The sequence below is a fragment of the Homo sapiens genome, chromosome 20, assembly GCF_000001405.40.
Source record: "Homo sapiens chromosome 20, GRCh38.p14 Primary Assembly".
In the NCBI taxonomy this organism is placed as follows: domain Eukaryota; kingdom Metazoa; phylum Chordata; class Mammalia; order Primates; family Hominidae; genus Homo; species Homo sapiens.
Genome location: NC_000020.11, coordinates 37,712,386 through 37,735,766, shown reverse-complemented (window position 1 = coordinate 37,735,766; position 23,381 = coordinate 37,712,386). Strand labels below are relative to the sequence as shown.

Here is a 23,381-nt window from a genome sequence, read left to right as displayed (position 1 = left end):
TCTATTATTAAATTTCTATTTCCACATATGGGGTTTTAAGTGGGAGCTACCCATAAATTCATTTTCAGCATGACACATTTATTAGATTATACCAATGACTCCTAGATCCCAAGGTTCTCTATTGAACCCCTACCTCCTCCCCAGGGTCTACAGCTTAAAGACAGGTTCCCTGACACAGTAAAAACAAGTCAGAGTCCTGGCTCAGTCAAGACTCAGAGCCTAGCTTCACTACTTACTAGCCATGGGACAATGTTACTTTGCTGAATATATTTCTCAAAGCTTCATCAAGTCCAGCTAATTCTATCTCCTAAGTCTTTCCTGAACTCATCCACTACACACTTAGAATAAAATCCCAAATCCCTCACATGATCTACGTAAGGATCTGGCAGGATCTGCCCAGATAATCTCTCCAACCCCAAACCAGTGCAAAGACTCCCATTGCTAGCCCATGTCTACTTGTTCTCTGGCATAAGTAGACTCTCCAGTGTCTGGCACACAGCAGGTACTCAGTGAAGATCTGAGGAATGGAGGAAGGGAGGAGGGGAGGGGAGGGGAAGGAAGGGGATGAATGAAATTGTTACCTGTTATCTCTCAAGGTCATAGAGATGACCTAAAGAAAGGATGTACATAAAACTACTTTGTAAACTACATGAATGCAAGCTGTTATGGTTATTATCAGCAACAGGCACAATGTACCCAACATACCACTAGAATTTAACTAAAATAATCAAAACATTTCTAGGAAAGGGTTAAATCACTTTCAAGTAAGCTCAATATCTGCTACTTTTTCTTTTCTTAGCTAACATCTTGCCCCACTCTGGAGAAAAACCACATTAGTGTTAACACAGCTCTCATGGGATTTCCGAAGTCCTAGCCTCTCCGGGGTTTGGCCTTCCCTCCTTTAATTTCTCTCCAACACTGGGGGAAAACTGAATTATCAGTCTTAGTCATCAGCCACAGCAGTATCTCCAATAGCTCAACGTCAGAAACCAGAGGGAGATTTCAGAAAGATGAATGCTGATGATGTAGCACAAAAAGGACAATAATATTTTACAAGTTCACGTGACTTTACAGGGGCAAACATCACTTGTTTTTCATCAAATGGGACTTCAGTGGCAGTGAGAAAATAACTCCTGGACTTGTAGCCTTCCATGTGTCATTTTTACAAAGCGATCTCTTTTTCCCTGTCCCTTAACAGACGGGTTGGTCCCACATTACATTTCTGTCTCCCAGGCTAGAAACCACTTACCCATGACAGCTACTATCCTAATCCTCCAGTACCAGCCTTGCCCTACATGGGAATTATACCTGCCAATTAACTGCTGCTGCAGGGCTAACAGATTGAGCAGAAGCTGGTGAGGAGGGAAGGGAGGGAGGATGTGCTACACACACTGTTTGTCTAAGCCCTGGCAAGGCTGCTGCCCTCAGAGAGGAAATTAAAAAATTCAGGACTGTCTCCCACCACGTATTTCTAAAGTGCCATCATCTTTTAGCGGGAGACCCCCAAATTAGCACTAGTACAAATCCTAATAAAGACAGAGCTATTGTCACAACACAGTAAAGACCTTTTTGGAATATGAATCCATTTTTTCTTCTTCTCAGATTCACAGCCAACCTCATTTTGTAATCCAAACTTAGCATCGTGTCTTTGAGAGAACCAAAAAACAGCTGGCTCTTAAGACTCTTATTTCCATAATTCATATTGAACAAAATGCCAGAGTGAAATAACACACAAGTTAACACTTAAAGATTTAAAAAGACACAGAGGTAAGGTCATTTTGTTTTTAATCACTGATATTTTACCTCTACTCTTCCCAGCTTCATTCATTTATTCATTCAATAAATATTTATTAAGGGCCTACCAAGAGCTAGGTATTGCTCTGGGTGCCAAAGATAGAGCTGTGAACAGAACAGAGCCAGTCTCTGTTTTCATGGGAGGCTGAGAGGAGGACAGCAATGAGCAAAATAAACAACTAGAATTTCAAATCATGATACGTGCTATGCAGACAATATACAAAATACAGTAATGAGGAAATGAGAGAATGGCTTGCAGGGCTACATAGGAAAGACTTCTTGGAGGAGGAAACATCTGAACTGAGACCTGAATGTGAAGAAACCAGTCATACAAAGCATTAAGGGAGACGAGCATTCCAACAGAGGACACAGAAGTCCAAAGGTCCAGAGGCAGGAATGAGTGGAAAGGCCCCAACGCATCTTGAGGAACAGCAAAGGGAAAGGCCCGAGGAATCTCCTTCCCTAAGCTGTACTTTTGCAGTCACACCTAAATACCTAATACTGTGGAACCCATTAAACTTCTCCACTTTTGTTGCTTTGCTAATACCATTTTCTCTGCCCAAAAAGCCCTTCCTTCCACTTGGTGAAATTTGACCCCTCTTTCAAAGATAATAATGCAAGTGCCTTCTATGTGTCCTCAGTAAGATCCAGGAAGCCTGCCCTGACCCTCCCCTACAGTACATAATATGGAACAATTTTAAAACTCTGTCACATTCTTTACATCTCATAAGATGCTTTCCCAACTGCACTAGCCCACTTAACCTTCACATTAACGCGATGAAATATGAATTCTTAACCCCATTTTACAGATGAAGATGGGAAGCTCAGACAAGCTTAGTATTTGGCCCAAAATTACGTTTTACAGGGCCAGCCATCTCAGCTCCCACCCAGCGCTGCCACGTTACCTCTTCCTCTTCCTCTTCCCCATCTCTGTCAATAATCTGCAGCAGCCTTTTTTTGTCATCATCCGCTTCCTCCACCACAGTCATTTCTTCTTCCCGATAGCGGCCGCGTTCTCGAGTACCAGTTTGTTTCCGACGCATCTTCTGCTCCTCCTCTTCATCATCCCGGGGACGTTTTGTGCCCCTATTGGGCTGAGAGAAAAGAAACATAAGATTTTAGAGCTGGATACAACATAGAAGCCAGGCGTGGTGGCTCATGCCTATAATCCCAGCACTTTGGGAGGCCAAGGCAGGCAGATCTCTTGAGCCCAGGAGTTTGAGACCAGCCTGAGGCAACATGGTAAAACCCTGACTCTACAAAAAATACAAAAAAAGACTTTGCAAGGCATAGACAGCAAATATCCTAAAAGCTTTCAAGAATTCTCTGACTCAAAAGCATCCAGCATACAACTTCTCCCACCACATGGGGTAAAGCTCTATGTGGTCATTTTTCAGATCCTTAATGATTCTATAAATATACCATGAAAGTCAGTGGGAATTTTTTTATACGCAGTTTTGCCATTTCACAAAAGTTCCTATGTATACGGAAATAGCAACAAAGCTATCTTAAGATGGGGACACTGGGTTAGGCTCACATACTAGTCAAGATATAACTCCCAATGCCAGCGTCTTAGCACCTGGTTTTAATTCACATCTACGTAAGATTACAAAGCCTTTTTTACAGTTACTCACAAATAGTACAAACATAAAATATTACATATGTAACTTCTGAATGTCTACTGTACTCCCAATTCTATTTTACAGAAGAGTTGAGTAAGGCCCAGAGCCTGGGCAAAGGACCTAAATAGACACTTCTCAAAAGAAGATGTACAAATGGCCAGAAGATATATGAAAAAAATGCTTACCATCACTAATCATCAGGGAAATGCAAAGAAAAATCACAATGAGTTATCATGTCACACCTATCAGAATGGCTATCATGAAAAAGACAGAAGATAAAGTGTTGTTGAGGGTGTAGAGAAAAGAGAACCCTGTGCACTGTTGATGGAAACACAAATTAATACAGCCATGATGGAAAACAGATGGAGGTTCCTCAAAAAATTAAAAATAGAATTATCATATGATCCAGCAATCCCACTTTTGGGTATGTAACCAACAGAATTGAATTCAGTATGCTGAGAAGATATCTGCCCTGTTCATTGTAGCATTATTCACAATAGCTAAGATATGGAAGCAACCTATGTGTCCGTCACTAGATGAATGGATAAAAAAAATGTATACATACACAATAGAATTCTACTCAGCCCTAAAAAGTGGGGAAATTCTGTCATTTGAGACAACCTGGATAAACCTGGAAGACATTAAGCAAAGTGAAATAAGCCAGGCACAGAAAGACAAATACCTCGTAATCTCACTTGTATGTGGAATCTAAAAAAGCTGAACTCATAGAAGTAGAGAGTAGAATGATCGTCACCAGAGGCTGGGGAGGAAGGGAGACGGAGGGAAATGTTGACTAAAGAGTATAAGTTTCAGTAAGGCCGGGTGCGGTGGCTCACACCTGTAATCCCAGCACTTTGGGAGGCTGAGGCGGGCAGATCACCTGAGGTCAGGAGTTCAAGACCAGCCTGATCAACATGGAGAAACCCCATCTCTGCTAAAAATACAAAATTAGCCAGGCGTGGTGGTGCATGCCTGTAATCCCAGCTACTTGGGAGGCTGAGGCAGGAGAATCGCTTGAACCCGGGAGGCAGAGGTTGCGGTGAGCCGAGATCGTGCCATTGCACTCCAGCCTGGGCAACAAGAGTGAAACTCCGTCTCAAAAAAAAAAAAAAGTTTCAGTTAAACAGGAAGATAAGCTTTAGTGATCTATTGCACTGAATGCTGAATATAATAAATAATAATGAACTGTACATTTAAAAATTGATAAAACGATTTTAAATATTTTCACTACAGAAAAAGTATTAAAGGTGATAGATTTGTTAATTAGCCTGATGTAATCATTCCAGACTGTAAACATATATCAAAATATCACCTTGTACCCTATAAATATATACAATTATTTGCTAATTAAAAATAAAAGTTTTTTAAATCAAATATAATAATAATAATAAAGGCCCAGAAGCCAAGTATTACATAAGATCACAAAACCACTCGTGCACCACTGAAAATAGAACTGGCACTTCCAGACTCCTAGTCCAAGGACCTTTCTACCATACTCTGTTAGGACCTCATGTTGCCTTTTGTTGTTGTTTACTTTTTAGAGATGAGGTTTCACTATGTTGCCTAGGCTGGACCTGAACTTCTGGGCTCCAGCAATCCTCCTGCCTCAGCCCTCTGAATAGCTGAGACTACAGGTGTGTGCCACTGCAGCCAGCTCATTTTGCCTTTTACAATGCAATCCATGAAGAAGGTCTTACTGTTGTTTTCCATTAAATTAGAATAAAACAGAGCAGTAGTGAAAGGGGCTTCAGAGCTGAAGAGACACAGCACTGCCCAGACACCAAACAGCCCAGTGTCTCCATTCAGCTCAACTTACTCCTGGTTCAACTTTGGGCCCATCACCTACCTCTCTAAACCTTAGTTTCCTCATCTGTAAATGGACATTATAATTCTTTTCTCTGTGAACTTCAAGTGAAAGAACTCTAAACCATAATGGTACTAAACAAATACATAAAATCATCACTGTGAGGTAATCCACATGATTCTGTCTTCTCCAACAAAACATTTGTGTTAGATTCTTCAATGAGATTTCTTTATCTGATATAGTAATCACACCCACCAGCGATATGCTTGGTGCAATGTGGTATGTTACTACCAAACAAAAGAAAATGCCACTTTCACTGCCAGCCTGCTAAGTTGTTTGGTAATAAGAGAAAATTTTCTATTATACATGTTACACATCTCCCCTTTTGACTTGTATTGAACAGTACTCTGCCAGTGGTAGAAAGTCATTCCCCTCTTTATTCATGTTTCCTGCTTGCTCCACATACCAGGTGCTTTAGTAAGTCTGAGCATATGACATTGTTTAGAAAACTCACACTCGACAATTTAGTTTGTAGGGTACCACCTGCTATTTTTCACTCTCTTCCTAGTCTCCCTGAGCTAGATGATAATTTCGTATGAACACACTTTATTTTCCATAAGGACAAAAATTACAAAAATGTACTATCATCATTACTGCTCTACCCTAAAAAAGAAAAATAAAAAGGAAAGCAACATGCCAGTAACCACAGACAGGCTACAATAAAAAAGGAGGTGGTGGTTTTCATGTAAGAAGAGGAAGGGAAGGTAGATTCATCCTAAAGGAGGGCAGGCTTCCAACTGGAAATCTGTAGCTCCTCAGCAGGTAAGGAACTTCAGCCCTCTGGGAACACTAATTCTTTCAAGCTCATAAAATAAGCCCTGCTGCGATTCTGATTAGCGTGAGCCTGCTGCAGCAGCCAAGTTAAGGCATGAGCTCCATAGTTCTCCACGGAAAGGAGATTTCTAGATTGTTTATCTCCGAGGGGAGAAAGAAAAGGCAGTGGGCCACAATTAAAAGGAGAAAGCTAAATATTGCCACAGTTAAGAAATGCAAAATAGAAAAAAAAAAACACTAGCTATGTCTCTTTTGAACACATCTTCCAATCCTCTTCTTTAAAACAAACATTTCAGAAGTCAGGGGAGGAGTTTCATTTATTAAATTCCCATTAAAATAGCACTTTCCTTCTGCAGAACTTCAATCTTCACCACATCTCTGGCAATGAGAAGTAGTCAACAGCTCTATTTCATAAACAGGGAGACAGGATACCTAAGATCTTTTAATAAACTCATGCAAAGACAACCTGGTCCCTTCTCAAAGTTGAATCTGATCTCTGGAAAACTGCTAATCTACCAAGATTCCAGGACCCTAACTGAGACAGGGCATCTGAGGAAATTTCAGGCAAAAACATCCACCTATAAATATGTCATATAAGACCCTGGTTAAGTTAAAACAATACTTTTTAAATCATTAATTCAACAAATAACTTACTAAAGAGTTATAAGGTTTGAAGGGTCTTCAAGTAATCAGCTGCCAGTCCCAGGCTTCCAACAGGGTCGTGTATAAATAGGGACACAGGGATAAATAGGGCCAGTGTGGATTGAGACAAGAATAACTCTGTTAACTTTTATCAATAGTGTAAGTATACCATCCCTAAGAGGGTTACCTTTAAGTTCACCAACTGTTTCTCCAACCTCCTCCCTCACACACAGTATTCAGCTTTATCTTTAGCTCCTCATGATGACTCTATGGCAGAGCCGAACCCATTACAATGCTCTGCTACAGCTCCTTCAGCAACACAGCAGCTCCCACCTCCCTCTCCAACAGAGAGTAAGCCATGCAAAAGCCCTGATATGTTTTATTTCCACATTCTCTTCTAAAGGCAAAAATCGTAAGAACTTCTCTTCATTTCTCTTCTTAACCCTCAAACATCTCTTTTTCAAACACTAACACTGCAAATAGGGAAGTTTTGAATCATTCCTGAGATTTGACCACTCTGAATAATAAGAGTTGGGATTCATTTCTTCAACAAAGTGCCAACCATATGAGGTACTGTGATGAGTACTGGGCACATAAGTGTGAACAAGACAAACACTGCCTTGTTATCAGAGCTTAACAATCTAGAACAGTGTTCAATTGAAATATAGTACAGGCCACAGATGTAATTTAAATTTTTTAGTAGCCACATTTAAAAAGAAACAGGTAATAATATGTTTATTTAATCTAACATACCCAAAATAGTATCATTTCAACATGTAATCTATATTAAAAAATTATTCATTTGTTATTTTACATTCTTTTTTTCACACTAGGTCCTTGGAATCTGGTATGTATTTTACACTTATGGTGTTTCTCAATACAGACTGGCCCAATTTCATGTGCTCAACAGCCATATGAGGCCAGTGGCTATAGTACTGAACAGCACAGGCCTAGGGGATTTCCATCTGAAGGGTTCCAGCTCCCTGATACAAGCTAAAATGGATTTGCCTTTCCAGCAACATTGAGTGAAATATGGACGCAAAAAGTTGAAGTCCTGTCTGTTCGTGAAAGAGTCACACTAAAAATTATGAAGCTAACTCAACACCCTGACCAAGAAATAAACTTCCTAATTTATATTTACCCAATAGTCACCACTGAGAGAGTGACTGCTTATACAAAACAAAACAAGAATTGTAAGCAGGGAAGAAGCTCAGAGCTGTCAAACTGATTTCACCAAAGGGAAGCCAAAGGGCTCTTGATCCACAAAAAGAATGTAACACTCACAGCCTGTCACAGAGGTCAACAGCTCAGGCTGAGCTCTCCCTGTGTCTTACACAACCAATCCCCAGAGGCTTAAGCCATTCTTACCAGTCACCTTTGGAGATTAATTTGTTTTGGTATCCGAAAGGTATTTGGAATCCCTCAAGATGAAGGAATGACAAAAGCAACTGTTCTTAATAAAGTCATTTCTCTGCCTCTGCTGCCCACAGGACTAGAGAAAAAATGATTAACTCTTAACTTCTGAACATCAGCCTTTAAGGGTTTTTACAATCTTCTACAATTCCCTGCCTTACTCCCAATAGGTGGTGAGTGGTATAAAAGCTAAGCATTTCCCACCATCCAACCACACAGCTGGTAGCCTTTCTAGGATAAAGGATTCCCACTCACTCAAAGCTCAGAGTAGGCTTCACGATAATAGATAGATGCCTTTACTCGCCAATAATCTTGAGGCCTATTGCCTGTGTGTGTGCGTGTCTCCATCCATGCCCCTGAAAACAGAAATCAAGACATCTTCATGAAAGCTTTGAAGGAGTTAAAAAAATTAAATAAGCAATCTGCCTAGGATACTCCCTGCGTACCCAGACAATATCCAACCTAAGCTTTGGGTTTCATTTTTCCCTCTTTTTTTTTAATTAAAAAGCAGTGAGAAGCTGTAGCTATAATGAGGGGCTGTGGGAACATGCAGTTATATTGAGCTCAAAGTAATGTACCATAGGAAGAGGCTACATCACCAGAACGAATCCTAAATTAAAACTCCACTATGAAAGCAACCCCATTTCCTCTGAGCACGCAATCTATATTATCACATTTATGGGCTATCTCGACCTCAATTAGGCTTGGGGGCAGTGGGGAAAAAAGAGAACTTCTATAATGAGCAATAATGGTATCATTATGATAAATTATGAAAACACATAATGCAAGTATTAATGTGAAGAGCGCATTTGTATCAGAATATAAAAGTGTAAATGTGTGCATGTGTGTGTGTCTAAATATAGCTCAACATTCCAAGTTCCCTGGCTAAGAAAGGGGATAATTCGTAAAAGGTACTTTTATGAAAAAAGATGTCCAATTCTAATGAGAAAATGGAAAAAGTCAAAGGAAACCTTCTAAACATTGTAATAAACCAAGAATTCTTCATCTAGAACTTAGGAGCTTGGCTAACTTCAGAAAATGATCTTCCAAATGGGGCATGAAGTACTGTTTCCTAGATATCAAACAACAGGAAAGACTTAGTAATTTGAGCTAGGAGAAAGAGATAATCTAGTCTCTCTCTCTCTTTATATTAATAGAATAGGGAAATCTGAGGCCAGTGAGTTTAAGCAACTTGCCTATGGTGAGCAAGACCACAAGGCTTCTAAATCCCAATATAGTGCTTTTCCTTTTTCTCCATGTTAACTTAAAACTGGCTGGAAAGAAAATAAGAGGACCCTGAAGAAGTCACTAGTAAATAAGTAAACAAAGCTACTATTAAAATATAAGAACACAGACTAGTGGCTATTTTAGACAGGCTATAACTAGAAACGACCATCAACAGGAAAAGGCTTTCAATTCATTATTGCTAGAGTTAATGATTCCTAACCTGTTTGCAATGGTGATATCCTGTATGGAGAATGAGTTTTGAAGTCAATTTTTCCTAAATTCAAATCCTAGCACCTCTACTCAGCAGTCCTGGAAAGTAAGTTACTCCCTCTACGCTTCAGTTTTCTCAGTCTATAAGCTGGGAACAATAACCTCTTTCACACAGACATTTATGCATATATGTATGCATGTACATAAAGGCCTATGTTTCTTTTCTTTTCTTTTTTTGAGACGGAGCCTCACTCTGTCACCCAGGCTGGAATGCAGTGGTGCGATCTCGGCTCACTGCAATCTCCTCCTCCAGGGTTCAAGCGATTCTCCTGTCTCAACCTCCTAAGTAGCTGGGACTACAGGCACGTGCCAGCACACCCAGCTCATTTTTTTATTTCTGGTAGGGATGGGGTTACACCATGTTGACAAGGCTGGTCTCGAACATCTGACCTCAAATGATCAGCCTGCCTCGGTCTCCCAAAGTGCTGAAATTACAGGCATGAGCCACTGCGCCCAGCCTAAAGGCTTGTGTTCCTAAAGTACAGAGCAGTTTGGCCCATAGAAAACAACACACTGAGCTCCCTATTTCTCCTGACATACTTGATTAAGAAATCAAAGAGGCGGCTGGGCGCAGTGGCTCATGCCTGTAATGCCAGCACTTTGGGAGGCAAGGCAGGCAGGCAGATCACCTGAGTTTAGGAGTTCGAGACCATCTTGACTAACCCGATGAAACCCCATCTCTAGTAAAAATAAAAAATTAGCCAGGTGTGGTGGTGGGTGCCTGTAATCCCAGCTACTGGGGAGCCTGAGGCAGGAGAGTTGCTAGAACTGGGGAGGCAGAGGTTGCCGTGAGCTGAGATTGCGCCATTGCACTCCTGCCTGGGAAAACAAGAGTGAAACTCCGCCTCAAAAAAAAAAAATCAAAGAGGCTCAAGGTTGGAAAGAACTCTGACCATTAATAGTTAGGTTTTTAAATGTGGGTCCCTTTTTAATGTCAAAATATTTGACAAGACCAACCGGGTGCAGTGGCACACGCCTGTAATCTCAACAATTTGGGAGGCAGAGGCAGGAGGCTCACTTGAGCCCAGGAGTTCGAGACCAGCCTGAGCAACATAGTGAGGACCTGTCTCTATAAAAAATTTAAAAAATTAGCCGAGCATAATGGCACGCACCTGTAGTCCCAACTACTCAGGAGGCTGAGGTGAGAGGATCACTTGAGCCCAGGAGGCTGCAGTAAGCCAAGGTCATGCCACTGTATTCCAGTCTGGGTGACACAGAGAGACCCTGTCTCAAAAAAAAAAAAAAAAAAAAAGATTGACAGGACCACCCGCCCTCGGACTTCCATTTTTTGGTACCCAATGATTAAGACACAATGACAACAAACAAATAAATTACTATCTATTATTTGGTAATACTTTTCATTGAATTTGTGTTTTAATGTCCACATTGACAAATAAAGAGAGGGGAGACAGAGATTATGTACTCATTTCTCGGAAAATGCTTGTGTACATCTGGATCCACAACTTCTTGCAATAATTCTGAGGCTCTAGAGACAGTTCAGGCATCAGGCATCCTTGATCTCACCCAGTCATCTATCTTAAGTTTGAATCCTTTTTAACATATCTCTCCCCAGGCATATGCCAGGGCTTTCCTAACACCTCCAGTGACCAGACACTCACCTCCTCCCTAAACTGTGCCCCCTCCACCTTTGAATCACTCAGTTAGGAAGCTCATTCAATTGAGGAGAAACCTTTCCACTTACACTCTCCTTCCATGGTTCCTAATACTTCTAATACTTCCCCCCTTAAGGAAATGTAAAACATTTCTAGTCTCGCTCACATTTAAAAAAAAAATTACATTTTTCAAGACAGCAATCCTTCTTATTTCTTCCTTCCCAATGCCTTTTCGAGAATAAACACTTTCAATAAGAAGGTCAGACAGGGGGCAACAGAGGAGAAGAGGGGGGTATACACATAATTACATTCCTTCCTACCATTATTTTGGAATTTCATAATTTTAAAGCATTCTAATACCTCTTGGAATAATTAGACATGTGGAACGTCGCAAACCCGCTTGTGGATGCATTGGTCTAACCAAATTGAAATGCTCAGAAATCATCTGCTGTTAACCTCTTCTTATTACCTTTTGTCAGAATAAAAGGGAGTTTTCAACATTCATTTTTACCAGATGGTAGTGAGTGGCCTGACCCAGAAGTTACAGATGAGTTGCAGTAATGAGTTTTCCCTTGACTTTACTGGCTGCACATTCACTGGTGACATTTTACAACTAGGACTTCTGGCTCAATCAATATTTGCAGGCATGAAACCTGCCAAAGTTAACATCAGGGCTCCCTTGCAAATTTGCTTAAGGCACCACAAATGAAACAGCTCACACTCTAATGCTGCAACTATCATCAGCCAAAGTTCATAATTAGAGATCAAAGTAATCAGAGACAGAAAATTCCACCCACCTCAAAGGGTTGTTGTGATGATTAAACAATACACCTTACAAAGGTGCCCTAGGTAAACTATAAATTGCTATACCAATGAAAGGTGTTATCATCATCATATTTTTAGGAAATGTCTGAGTGAAAATGCCAGATATTCAAATATAAATACATATTACACCTCTGCAAATTTGCAAGACTGGCTTCAAAAAAAGATCAATTAATTATGTCAACCTACTACCTTTTTTTCTGGAGGAAAAAAAAGATATCAAGCGCTCCTCAAAATCCCAAAGCAGAGTCTTTGCAAAATGTAAAAGAGAAGCACCATTTATTCCCAATTAAAAACAAATTACAGGCAACAAGACCACAGTAATTACTGGAGAATATGGTCTTTATCAATGTTCACAATGAAGGGGAAAATATCAATGTATCAAAAATCAAAATTACAAACAGTCTCACTTATGATCTGTAATCTGATTGGCTGACAGCTAAGATGGATGTGATGTACGATTTAAATCACTAGTCATAAAGACTTAATCCATTTTTCCTACCAAAAAATTATTATTCCTTGTTAAAGCCTGAATATATATTCATCTCACCACCAAAGGGTGTATAGATTTCTTTTTTAGAAGTACAAACTATACTTTAATGTCCATGGTTTACTTTGACATCTGCTCTGATTGATTCTACAGCTACATCAGAAAGCTGAATGTTGATTCGGTTTCTTTATCAAAACTAACATAGGCAGATTACTTGTAAAGTCACTGGAAGGCAAACTATCTCCAATTTAGCACACTTATGAATCTGTTTTGTCAGCTACACCAGAACCATCCGCATCCATTCATTCATTAAGGAAGTATTTACTGAGCTAAAAGAACCTGAACATCACTCTATTAGGTGCTGGAGGGACAATTAGACATCAATTTAACAACAAAACAGCACTGATCTAAAAGAAGTTAAGGTGGTACAATGCAAACAGCAGCAAACCAAAAATCAGAAAAATCTGGGTTCTAGTGGTAAATCACTTAAGAGCCACATGACCTTGCATAAGTCATTAGACTTATCAATGCTGCATTTATTAAAAAAATGCTCAGCCCTTGCTTCGCTATCTCACAGGACTAACTTTACTTTAGTAAGCTAAGGGATAGGAAGATTAAAATGAGATAAAAATACAGGACTTTGAAAAGAAAGCACGGAATTCAATTTCTCTTAATGACTGCAAACTGCAAAGCCCTGTATATACAACAGACTTTATTTATTTATTTATTTATTTATTTATTTATTTATTTATTTATTTATTTTAGACGGAGCCTCACTCTGTCTTCCTGGATGGAGTGCAGTGGTGTGATCTTGGCTCACTGAAACCTCCACCTCCCAGGTTCAAGCAATTCCCCTGCCTCAGCCTCCCAAGTGGCTGGGACTACAGGCGTGCACTACCACACCTGGCTAATTTTTGTATTTTCAGTAGAGATGGGGTTTTGCCATGTTGGCCAGGCTGGTCTCAAACTCCTGACCTCAAATGATCCGCCTGCCTTGGCCTCCAAAAGTGCTGGGATTACAGGCATGAACAACCATGCCTGACCAGACTTTAAATAACTTAAAGCCAGCTTTTGACAAAGAACATAAGATGATTGTAGAAGAAAAAATAATGAGTAGCCCATAAGCATATAAAAAGTAGCCCAACCTCATTAGAAATCAGGGAAATGTACATAAAAACCATTAGTTATCATTGGATTGACAAAAATGAAAAAATAAAAAATCTGGTAATACCAAGTGTTGGTGAGGATATGGGGAAACAAGAACTGTTGATACTTGCTGACAGAGGAGAATAAATGAATACAGAGCAAACTGGTGAGGCCTGATACCACTGATGCATATATTCTACGACTATCCCAGTAGTTCTACTCCTAGGGACATAGACACTAGAGAAATGCTCACACATATACACAAGTAGTTATTTAAAGAATGATCACTGGACAATAAGAAACAAAGTTAAATGATCCATGGATGCATGCATAAATAGTAACAGTAAGAAAAAAGTACATGAGAATAATAATCACCAAATTCAGGATACTGATTGCTTCTAAAGGAGGTTAAGAGAGAAACTGGATTAGAGAGGAGTATGTGATGAAATGAGATTAGGGAAGAGTGCAAAGGAGACTTTATCTGTATTTACAATGTTTTATTTCTTAAAGTAAGATCTGAAGTAAATTTGGCAAAATGGTGTGATTATGCACACACTGAAGAGAAAAAAGGTAGGGGGGTACCACCAGAAGCTAGCAGGGATCAGGCAGACCAAGTCATGCCCAACTGGTTGTGCTGCTTTGATATTGTTACTGTTGATTAAGGGTTTATAACACTCACAGGGTACCTTAAAGTCAACAAGATCTCTCACAGAGTTATTCAATGAGTCAACAGGATAACCAGCTTTAATTATTTTTAAAGCTAATGCATATTAAGGGTGCACTTTTTAGAAGTATAAAACCCAATTCACCCTAGCTCCACAGTCGTGAGTTAGCTACTGTGCATTAAAAGAGACACTACCAACAGGGGAATATATGAGCGGGATAGCAGAGGGTCTGGAAGCCTTGCTATAGGAAAAATCAATAATGGAATCCAAGAAGATTCAGGCAGGGACCCAGGAGTGAATCACCATCAGTTATTAACGGATGCCTTAGAATAGAGTACGTGCAAACAGTGCTACAAAAAATGGCAGATCACCTTCCATCCCCCTTCACTGCAGCTAGAGAAGTGCTACTCAGTCTTAAGCCCCCACTCAAATGTCACCTCCCTTGAGAGTCCTCCACATACTCCAGTAAAACTTGTGAGCTTCCTCGGCACTGTATCAGATCTCTCCCAGCACACAATGTATGTGTGAATAAGTCTCTATTTCCTCTACTAAATCATGAGCTAGGTCTTCAAGAGTAGGGATCCTAGGATTTGACCCTTGCTTCTAACAAATATCTCAGCACCTAAGAGTGCCTTGTTCATAGCTGGCACTTAAATCAATGAAAGACAGATTTTTGGCTCTATATATATTAGCATATATATACTCACTAAAGTGAAAAAGAAAAAGACACATTCACTGAAAGTGTCCCAACAGAGTCCAAATTATATGTCATGCTGCTGTCAACAGACCCTCCTGGCTGGACTATTTAGACCTCTAAGATTCTCGTAGTCAATGTCTGGGCCTTAATCCAGCTTAAATGAAAACTATTTTTCTGTTTTTCAAAACAATAATTTACCACCACCTTTTTTTTAGTTTAAAAAATAATTTATTTAATTCATCCTGTCGAAAAGGTTTTTAAGTTGTATAGGCCATGCAATGTGGCTCACACCAGTAATCTTAGCAATCTGGGAGGCCAAAGCAAGAGGATTGCAATAGCCTAGGAGTTCAAGACCAGCCTGGGAAACGGTGAGACCCTGTGTCTACAAAAAATAAATTCAGGCCACGCACAGTGGCTCACGCCTGTAATCCCAGCACTTTGGGAGGGTGAGATGGGCGGATCACGAGGTCAGGAGATCGAGACTATCCTGGCTAACATGGTGAAACCCCCTCTCTACTAAAAATACAAAAAAATTAGCCGGGCATGGTGGCAGGCGCCTGTGGTCCCAGCTACTAGGGAGGCTGAGGCAGAAGAATGGCGTGAACCTGGGAGATGGAGCTTGTAGTGAGCCGAGATTGCGCCACTGCACTCCAGCCTGGGCAACAGAGCAAGACTCTGTCTCAAAAATAAATAAATAAATAAATTTTAAAAAAATTAGCCAGGCGCAGTGATACACGCACATGCCTGTAGTCCCAGCTACTCAGAAGGCTGAGATGGGAGGACTGCTAGAGCCCAGGAGATCAAGGCAGCAGTGAGCCGAGATCACATCACTGCACTCCAGCCTGGGCAACAGAGCAAGACCCTGTCTCAAAAAAAAAAAAAGAAAAGAAAAGAAAAATAAAAAAAGAAAAACAAGTTGTATAAATGTCAGCCATGAACAAATGCAGGATGAAAACAAAACAAAATCTTTCTGCCTACAGATTATATCTCATTTCAAATAAAATAAAATATCTTCTAACATTTTTCTAAGGTTATTACATTTAAAAAGTAAGATAAATCCCACTTGATAGCCAATGAGTGTCACGTATATGGGCCCTTGTGAACATGAAGGGGAGATGAGAAAGGAACTGTCCTCATTGAGCTTTACAGGGCACCCTTACTAAGCAGCTACCTAGCTCCATGCCAAGAGTACAAGGTTTAAGAAACAAAGAAACAAAAAAGGCATGTTCTTTCCTTCAAGGCACTTTCAATCTTGTGAGAACCACAACACTGACAAGTCAATGGAGGATTATTGAGCCTTCCGGTTAGCGCTGTGGCTGAGTGGGCATAGAGAACAAAGGGACCATGGATGGGGCATCTGTATCAGACTGGAGATCAAGGAAGGTGGCATAATTCAAGGGAAGAGGACAAGTTAAACCAATGAAATCACCAGGAATCATAATTTACTATTAGCAAATGTATGCAAATTCTCCAAGTTCCTTGGGCCATTAGGGTGACTGCAGCCAAGCAGAATTCATCCAAGTTCCTTGGGCCATTAGGGTAAATTCTCCAAGCAGAATTCATCTCTTCTGAATCTACCTGTCTACTTACTTTATACCACACTGGGCCATATCTATATATAATCTGGTAAATTTTCCAATGGTGGCATCAAGGATATTCAGAGGCTAAGTATAGTAAAACTCAGATTCAGACAAAGAATACTAGTCTAACCCTGTAATTTACAGATGAGTAAACTGAGACTCAAATTAGTGACAATACTTGAGCCCGAAGCCATAGAACTGGGCCTGGAATCTAACTCTCATCTTAGTAGAAGCAGTATTACACAACCTCAAGACTCCTTTCCTCAGTCAAGACCTCAGAAATTATCATCTTCAAGGCATACTTTGCATCAGCTCTCCCTGCTGCCATCATCTTTCAGCCAACACTAAAATCCCTGTGCTGCTTTTCTGCCCATGCTTTTAGTCAGGTGAGTTCCTTCTGCAGTTGTTCCTTGCCTATCTGCAATTTTGCTATCCAGAAGAGTCTAGTGTCATCTGTCTAAATGGAGATTTCAGTAAGAAATTCCTCCCTCATGAGGTGGGGTGGTCAGCCCCCCGCCTGGCCAGCCGCCCCGTCCGGGAGGGAGGTGGGGGGGGTCAGCCCCCCGCCCGGCCATCCGCCCTGTCGGGGAGGTGAGGGGCGCCTCTGCCCGGCCGCCCCTACTGGGAAGTGAGGAGCCCCTCTGCCCGGCCAGCCGCCCCGTCTGGGAGGGAGGTGGGGGGGTCAGCCCCCCGCCCGGCCAGCCACCCCGTCCGGGAGGGAGGTGGGGGGGTCAGCCCCCCGCCCGGCCAGCCGCCCCGTCCCGGAGGTGAGGGGTGCCTCTGCCCGGCCGCCCCTACTGGGAAGTGAGGAGCCCCCCTGCCCGGCCAGCCGCCCCGTCCGGGAGGGAGGTGGGGGGGTCAGCCCCCCGCCCGGCCAGCCACCCCGTCCGGGAGGGAGGTGGGGGGGTCAGCCCCCCGCCCGGCCAGCCGCCCCGTCCCGGAGGTGAGGGGCGCCTCTGCCCGGCCGCCCCTACTGGGAAGTCAGGAGCCCCTCTGCCCAGCCACCACCCCATCTGGGAGGTGTACCCAACAGCTCATTGAGAGCGGGCCATGATGACAATGGCGGTTTTGTGGAATAGAAAGGGGGGAAAGGTGGGGAAAAGATTGAGAAATCGGATGGTTGCTGTGTCTGTGTAGAAAGAAGTAGACATGGGAGACTTTTCATTTTGTTCTGTACTAAGAAAAATTCTTCTGCCTTGGGATCCTGTTGATCTGTGACCTTACCCCCAACCCTGTGCTCCCTGAAACATGTGCTGTGTCCACCCAGGGTTAAATGGATTAAGGGCGGTGCAAGATGTGCTTTGTTAAACAGATGCTTGAAGGCAGCATGCTCCTTAAGAGTCATCACCACTCCCTAATCTCAAGTACCCAGGGACACAAACACTACGGAAGGCCGCAGGGTCCTCTGCCTAGGAAAACCAGAGACCTTTGTCCACTTGTTTATCTGCTGACCTTCCCTCCACTATTGTCCTATGACCCTGCCAAATCCCCCTCTGCGAGAAACACCCAAGAATGATCAATAAAAAAAAAAAGAAAAGAAAAAAGAAATTCCTGCCTCATATCACTTGGAGAAACCCACACTGAGCACTGGGTCACCTGCCATTGACACCAGTCCACTCTGAACCTTTAAATAACAAATTAATATGGGAAAGCTATTTAAAATTATTTATAGGTTTAAACCAAGGCTCAGATACAATAAATTTACTTTGCTATTTAGGATGACACAAATGCTGATACTTTATAAGTTTCTAAGAGAGGAGAGTGGAGTATGCATTCTGCAACCAGCGAACTCACACAATGGTTCTGCACGTTACAAGACATACCTGTTAACAGAGAAGTCTCCAGCCAGTGGAATACTGCCTCTAGCAATGCATGATTTTATTAAGACCAAAGTGGGCAAAGAAATATTTAATTATTTTTTCTACAAGTTATCTCTCAGGTCACTGCCAAGACTAAAAACGTAAAACTGCATTCCCTTTTCCAATAGGAGTGGCTGGGGGAAAAGAGTGTATACTACCAGGAATAGAGACAGGAAAAAAAGAGAAAAGATGTTTTGGAAAAATGGGAAGGGGGGAATGAATGATCCAGGACTGAATGAGTGAGAACCGGATCATGTGTGAGAAACTAACCATTTTATTCACTTACAAACACCTGCTCATTCATTCCTTAAGACTTCTTATATGATTTTGGTCTCAGAAGGCTTAGGACCTTAGACATTGCCATTGTTTCTTCAAAAGCTTAAAATGTATCCATATAAGTCTGTTATTCAATAGCTGCCACATTTATTTCAAGGAAGATAGAATGCACGTGGAACTTTCCCTTGAGTATCTTGTTAAAGAAGAATATTTTTCAACATTATGGGCAATACTTTAGAGTCTGAAAATGTAGCAAGATTATATAACATACTTTCCAGCACTTGACTGCTGATTTACCTATCCCTCTCAGCTTGAATGAAGTGTCTGGTGTTATGGCCTCAAAACATGCCTGTTGATGGGTCCATCAAAGACAATGAAAAGATATGGTTTCATGTCTGCTTTTGTGTAAGATGCACTTTATTTCCTCAACTCAAAGGAAATAGTAAAATATTTCTGGAAGCTTTACAAACCACTAAAGCTAGCAAAATACCTCCATTTCCAATAAAGACAAGGATGGTGAATGAGTTATTCTTAGATAAGACAATTCAGTGTCAGAAATACTTCCCCACCTGGAAAAAAAACAGAGAACTCTGACCTCCTGGCCATGTGGATGATCAAAAGAAATCCTCTGGCAGCCTGGGCAAATGCGTCTTGGCCACCTACAAATTCTCCCTGCAAGCTCTATCCACACCATCACAACATTCTCTCAAGGAACCTATAAAGTTGATTTCAAAGTGATTTTTAATTAATACTTGCTCACGTCAAGAACATTTTAAGATACTCAATTTCCTAGCAAGCACATTTAGTAGACCAAATAGGCAAAATGCATACCTTGCTGGGCAGGAAGAAGCTCTACCAAAGGTAATACAAATAAGAAAAATAAGTGTCTTATACATAAACAGTAGAATAAAATAATTATTTTGACCCATCTTCCCCTATTTAAAGTTTTTTTTGAAGCTTGGCAGGCTTAGGGTATCAAAAATACTTAAGAACTGGTTGCCTTTAAAAAAAAAATACCCAAAAACAGTGCACAGACAATACTACATATTACTATAGCTTTACTTTCTGATAAAGGAATGTAAAGTGAATTTTCATAAGCAAGTTTCCTCTGTGGGTGAATCTCCAGTCAGTTACAACCAACTCAAAGAGAGCCATCAAGGCAAACTACCCATTAGCTGTCAATTTACAATGACTTCAGAGAGCTAGCCTCAGAGCTCCACTGATATCTTTTCAACAACCTCTTAATCTTGTTTATAACACCTGTGTTAAAGCAGCCTGACATCAATTCTACTCACTTGTCGCAGACTGAAATTACTTAGAAATCTGAGAATTCCAGTAAACATACCAAAAAAACACAAAGATGCACGGCCTGAAAAACCCTGTACACAAGGGAATTCGGCCACTTCTTTTAAATAAAGCTGCATAAGTGAGCCAGAATGGGCCTCAAAAGGCAAAGTCAGATATAAATCTCACAAATAACTTCTTAGGAGGCACCGAGGTCACAGCATTGTGGGGTTTACAGAAACCATAAAGAATTCCTCCTACAGCTTCCTCACCAAACGATTATCCAAACTATTCAACAGTTACCATTAACTATGTGCCTACTCTGTACCAGGAACTTAACATTTTCATTATCTTTTTAACCTTCACACAACTCTTCTAGGTAGGTGATACCATTCTTCATTTCTACAAGTAAGGAAGCCAAAGTGTGGTGGCTTGCTTAGTGAACTGCCAAAGACCAAAGAGCTAGAAAATAGTGGAGATGGGACTCAAACGCTGCCCGTCAGTCTATGCCTAAGGCTCTTTCTATGACATCATACTACCACCATGAGATTGAGAAATCATCTTGCTATAACTGGTTTCTGTGATTACTACAGATCTGTTTCCTGAGGTTCCTTTAACTCAAGTGAACTGTTAGCGGCTCTAGTACTTTCTGTTTTAGAAACCCATGTTTGTCCTAGGTCTGTAAGAAACATAAAACACATAAGAAATTGATGCTAAACTAGTCACGTGAACGGGGGGGTGAGGTGCGGTGAAAAGAGTATGGACTTTGGTAGTCAAAATCTCTGGGTTTGTTGTCACTAGTGTGTGACCCTGGACAAATAACCACCATTTCAGCCTTAGTTTCACCCTTGGAAAAAGCCATCCTACTGATGTGGGGTAGCAGTGTTGTGGAAGCACCTAACCCAAAAAAAGCACTCAATAAATGTTTAAAGAAAGAAAGAAAAATATCAAATGGAAATGGATAGGCCAGATCCAACCAACACAAAATAAAACCTAATTTGGTTGTTCTGTACAACCTCTTATTTTTTGCCTATAAGGCTGGGTAAAGAGAAAACAGCAATCATGGCCCACAGTAGACTTGCAACAAATCTTTGGCAAATAAATGAATCAATCAATCTCCTGCTTTAGAGTCAGAGACAGCAATAGCCTTTAAAAGAAATGCCAGTCAACTGTCAGATTACAAAATAATAGAATCAGGCTTTTATGAAGATCATCTACTATTACTTAAAGCAAGATTCACTCAACTCCAAGTTATCTATGACTAGGGCTACTATCATTCACAAAAACACCTTAATCTGTTCCCATCAAGGAAAAGGCAAGAAAAAAGGCAACTGGGGAGGTGCTAAGCCTCAATATAAAAAGATACCTAGAGAAGACTCAAATTCAATCACCTAATCATTGATTCACTGCTTCATTCATTCACCCTCATCCTTTCCTTTCTTTAGTCAAGAGATATTTATTGAGCATTTACTCAATGGCAGGCGCTGATCTGGTCACTGTCCTTGAGCAACTCACAGTCCAATAAGAAAAGTATGTAATCAAGAAATTCCAATAGAGAGTGGCAGGCAGAGTAGACTTGGAGGAAAGTACAAGGTAGAGGAATGGCAGGATTCTGCGGCAGTTTATTCTCGAAGGTCTTCCTTCTTGTTTTTTTTTTAGAGTACTTCATCCATTGGAGCCCTCTTCTAGGAAGAAGATTCCACCATCTACTTACTGGGTATCTTTGGGCAAGTTACCAAACCTCTGTGAGCTTCCTTTCCTCATCTGCAAAATGGAACTAAGAATATTGACTTCCCAGGGTTGCCTTTAGGATGAGATGGGATAACACACATAAGTCGAACAGCACAAAGCCTGGCTCTCAGTGGGCTTTGATACCGAGTAGTCCTCAGCCCTTTGTTTTGTTCTTTTGGCTTGGTTTCATGGGAAGGAGAAAACGTATATTCTTTTATTTCATTAAAAGTAGGAAAATTTCCATGCTCCTCTATGAGCTGCTTTGCATTCACTTAAATTCAGGAACACGCCATCCCTGTGACACCCTGCCCATAAACACAAAGTCAATCTGTCAAATGAAGAGCAAATCTGCCATTAGTGCAGAGGCAATACCTCAAGGCCAGCTGCACACCCACCCCATGATATTATCTGCCTAGGCTTGGTGTCATGCCCCTGAGAAAAGCTATGCTCAGTACATTCAGCAATCAGAAAGTTCACACGGTCAGAGGTGCCTCTGCCTCACACAAGGTGAAGCATAGCTAAAAATTGCTTTTTTAATTAAAATAAGACTTCCTCAACCGCCTGCTGACAATCACAACTAGAACATGGAGCCCAGAATCAGTTAACCAGTCTCCATTCTGCTCTAATGGTGGTTTTAAGCACTCAGAGAGGGGAGGGGGAAAAAATTACCAATTTAAACAAAATGTTTAATCTTCTAATTATGGGACAGGCTCCAAGAGGATGGGAAGTGATTTGCAGTCTTCATTATGGAATCCCCACGCAACCACTGGCACAAGTCATGTCAGCCAGAGGCACATGCCATCTTTTTCCCCCACTGAGCCTTCTGTGTCCTTGCAAGTTTTGTGGGAATGGAAAAAGAAATCTTCAGTCAAAAAAAATGGGGCTGAAGCTTACGAATTTCTGTCTCCAAGTTCATCATGCTGAGTGAGGTGTAAGGATCCCCAGTGAGCAGCCAGGGAGACAATATTCAGTGACTTTACATTGGCAAGCTTAGCAGCCCTTTGAAACTCTAAAATCTTATAAAAACTGCCCAGGTCCGGTGGTGCTTAAGCCATTTTTTAAAAAATTTGCTGAAAAGTCCTGTCATCAGCACTAAGAGATGCACTGAAAATTAGGGTGGTGCCCACCAACGGCACTTCTGGTCGGAAGGAAATCTGTTCCTCTGCAGATATGCTTGTATCTTTGCTAATTTGTGTTATCTCTGCCCGTTCATATCTCTATGTGCTAACTCAGGAGAAAAAGTCCCTGCCAACCAACTCTGACAAGTCTGATGGCAGAACTCCCAGTGGAGATCCAGCAGAGACAGCAGAGGCAGGCAATTATTCCCTTTCATTAGGAACAGTTCTTTTTAAGTTTGGGTGTTTTGTATTAGTATTATTTTGAACACAAAAAGTAGCCATTCACAATCGCTGCTCAATGCAGTCACTTACACAACTGACAGCAACTGTAATTTCCCCATAAGCCAATTGAAAAAGATGGCCTGGAAGTAACTAGAAATGGTTGTGCCCCCTTAATTACCCACTGTAATGTAAAACCAGACATGGAGAGAATGGCCATAGCAGATCTGGGCAAAGTGGCAGTGATATTTAATCATCACTTCAGACCATCTGCA

The 23,381-nt window shown here is 41.2% G+C and overlaps 1 protein-coding gene across 3 annotated transcripts in view; it reads right to left on the bottom strand.

Moving 5' to 3' along the window:
• CTNNBL1 (catenin beta like 1) overlaps positions 1-23,381 on the bottom strand; it is a 178,089-nt gene that overhangs the window by 136,352 nt on the left and 18,356 nt on the right. For 2 of the 3 annotated variants that reach the window (XM_024451947.2, NM_030877.5), the window contains one exon: positions 2,700-2,888. In XM_024451947.2, coding sequence (XP_024307715.1) covers positions 2,700-2,837 — 138 coding nt within the window. In that variant the 5' untranslated portion in view covers positions 2,838-2,888. Of the gene's footprint in view, positions 1-2,699; positions 2,889-8,364; positions 8,466-23,381 lie in introns of all 3 variants that reach the window. The other variant, NM_001281495.2, reaches the window with a different exon arrangement.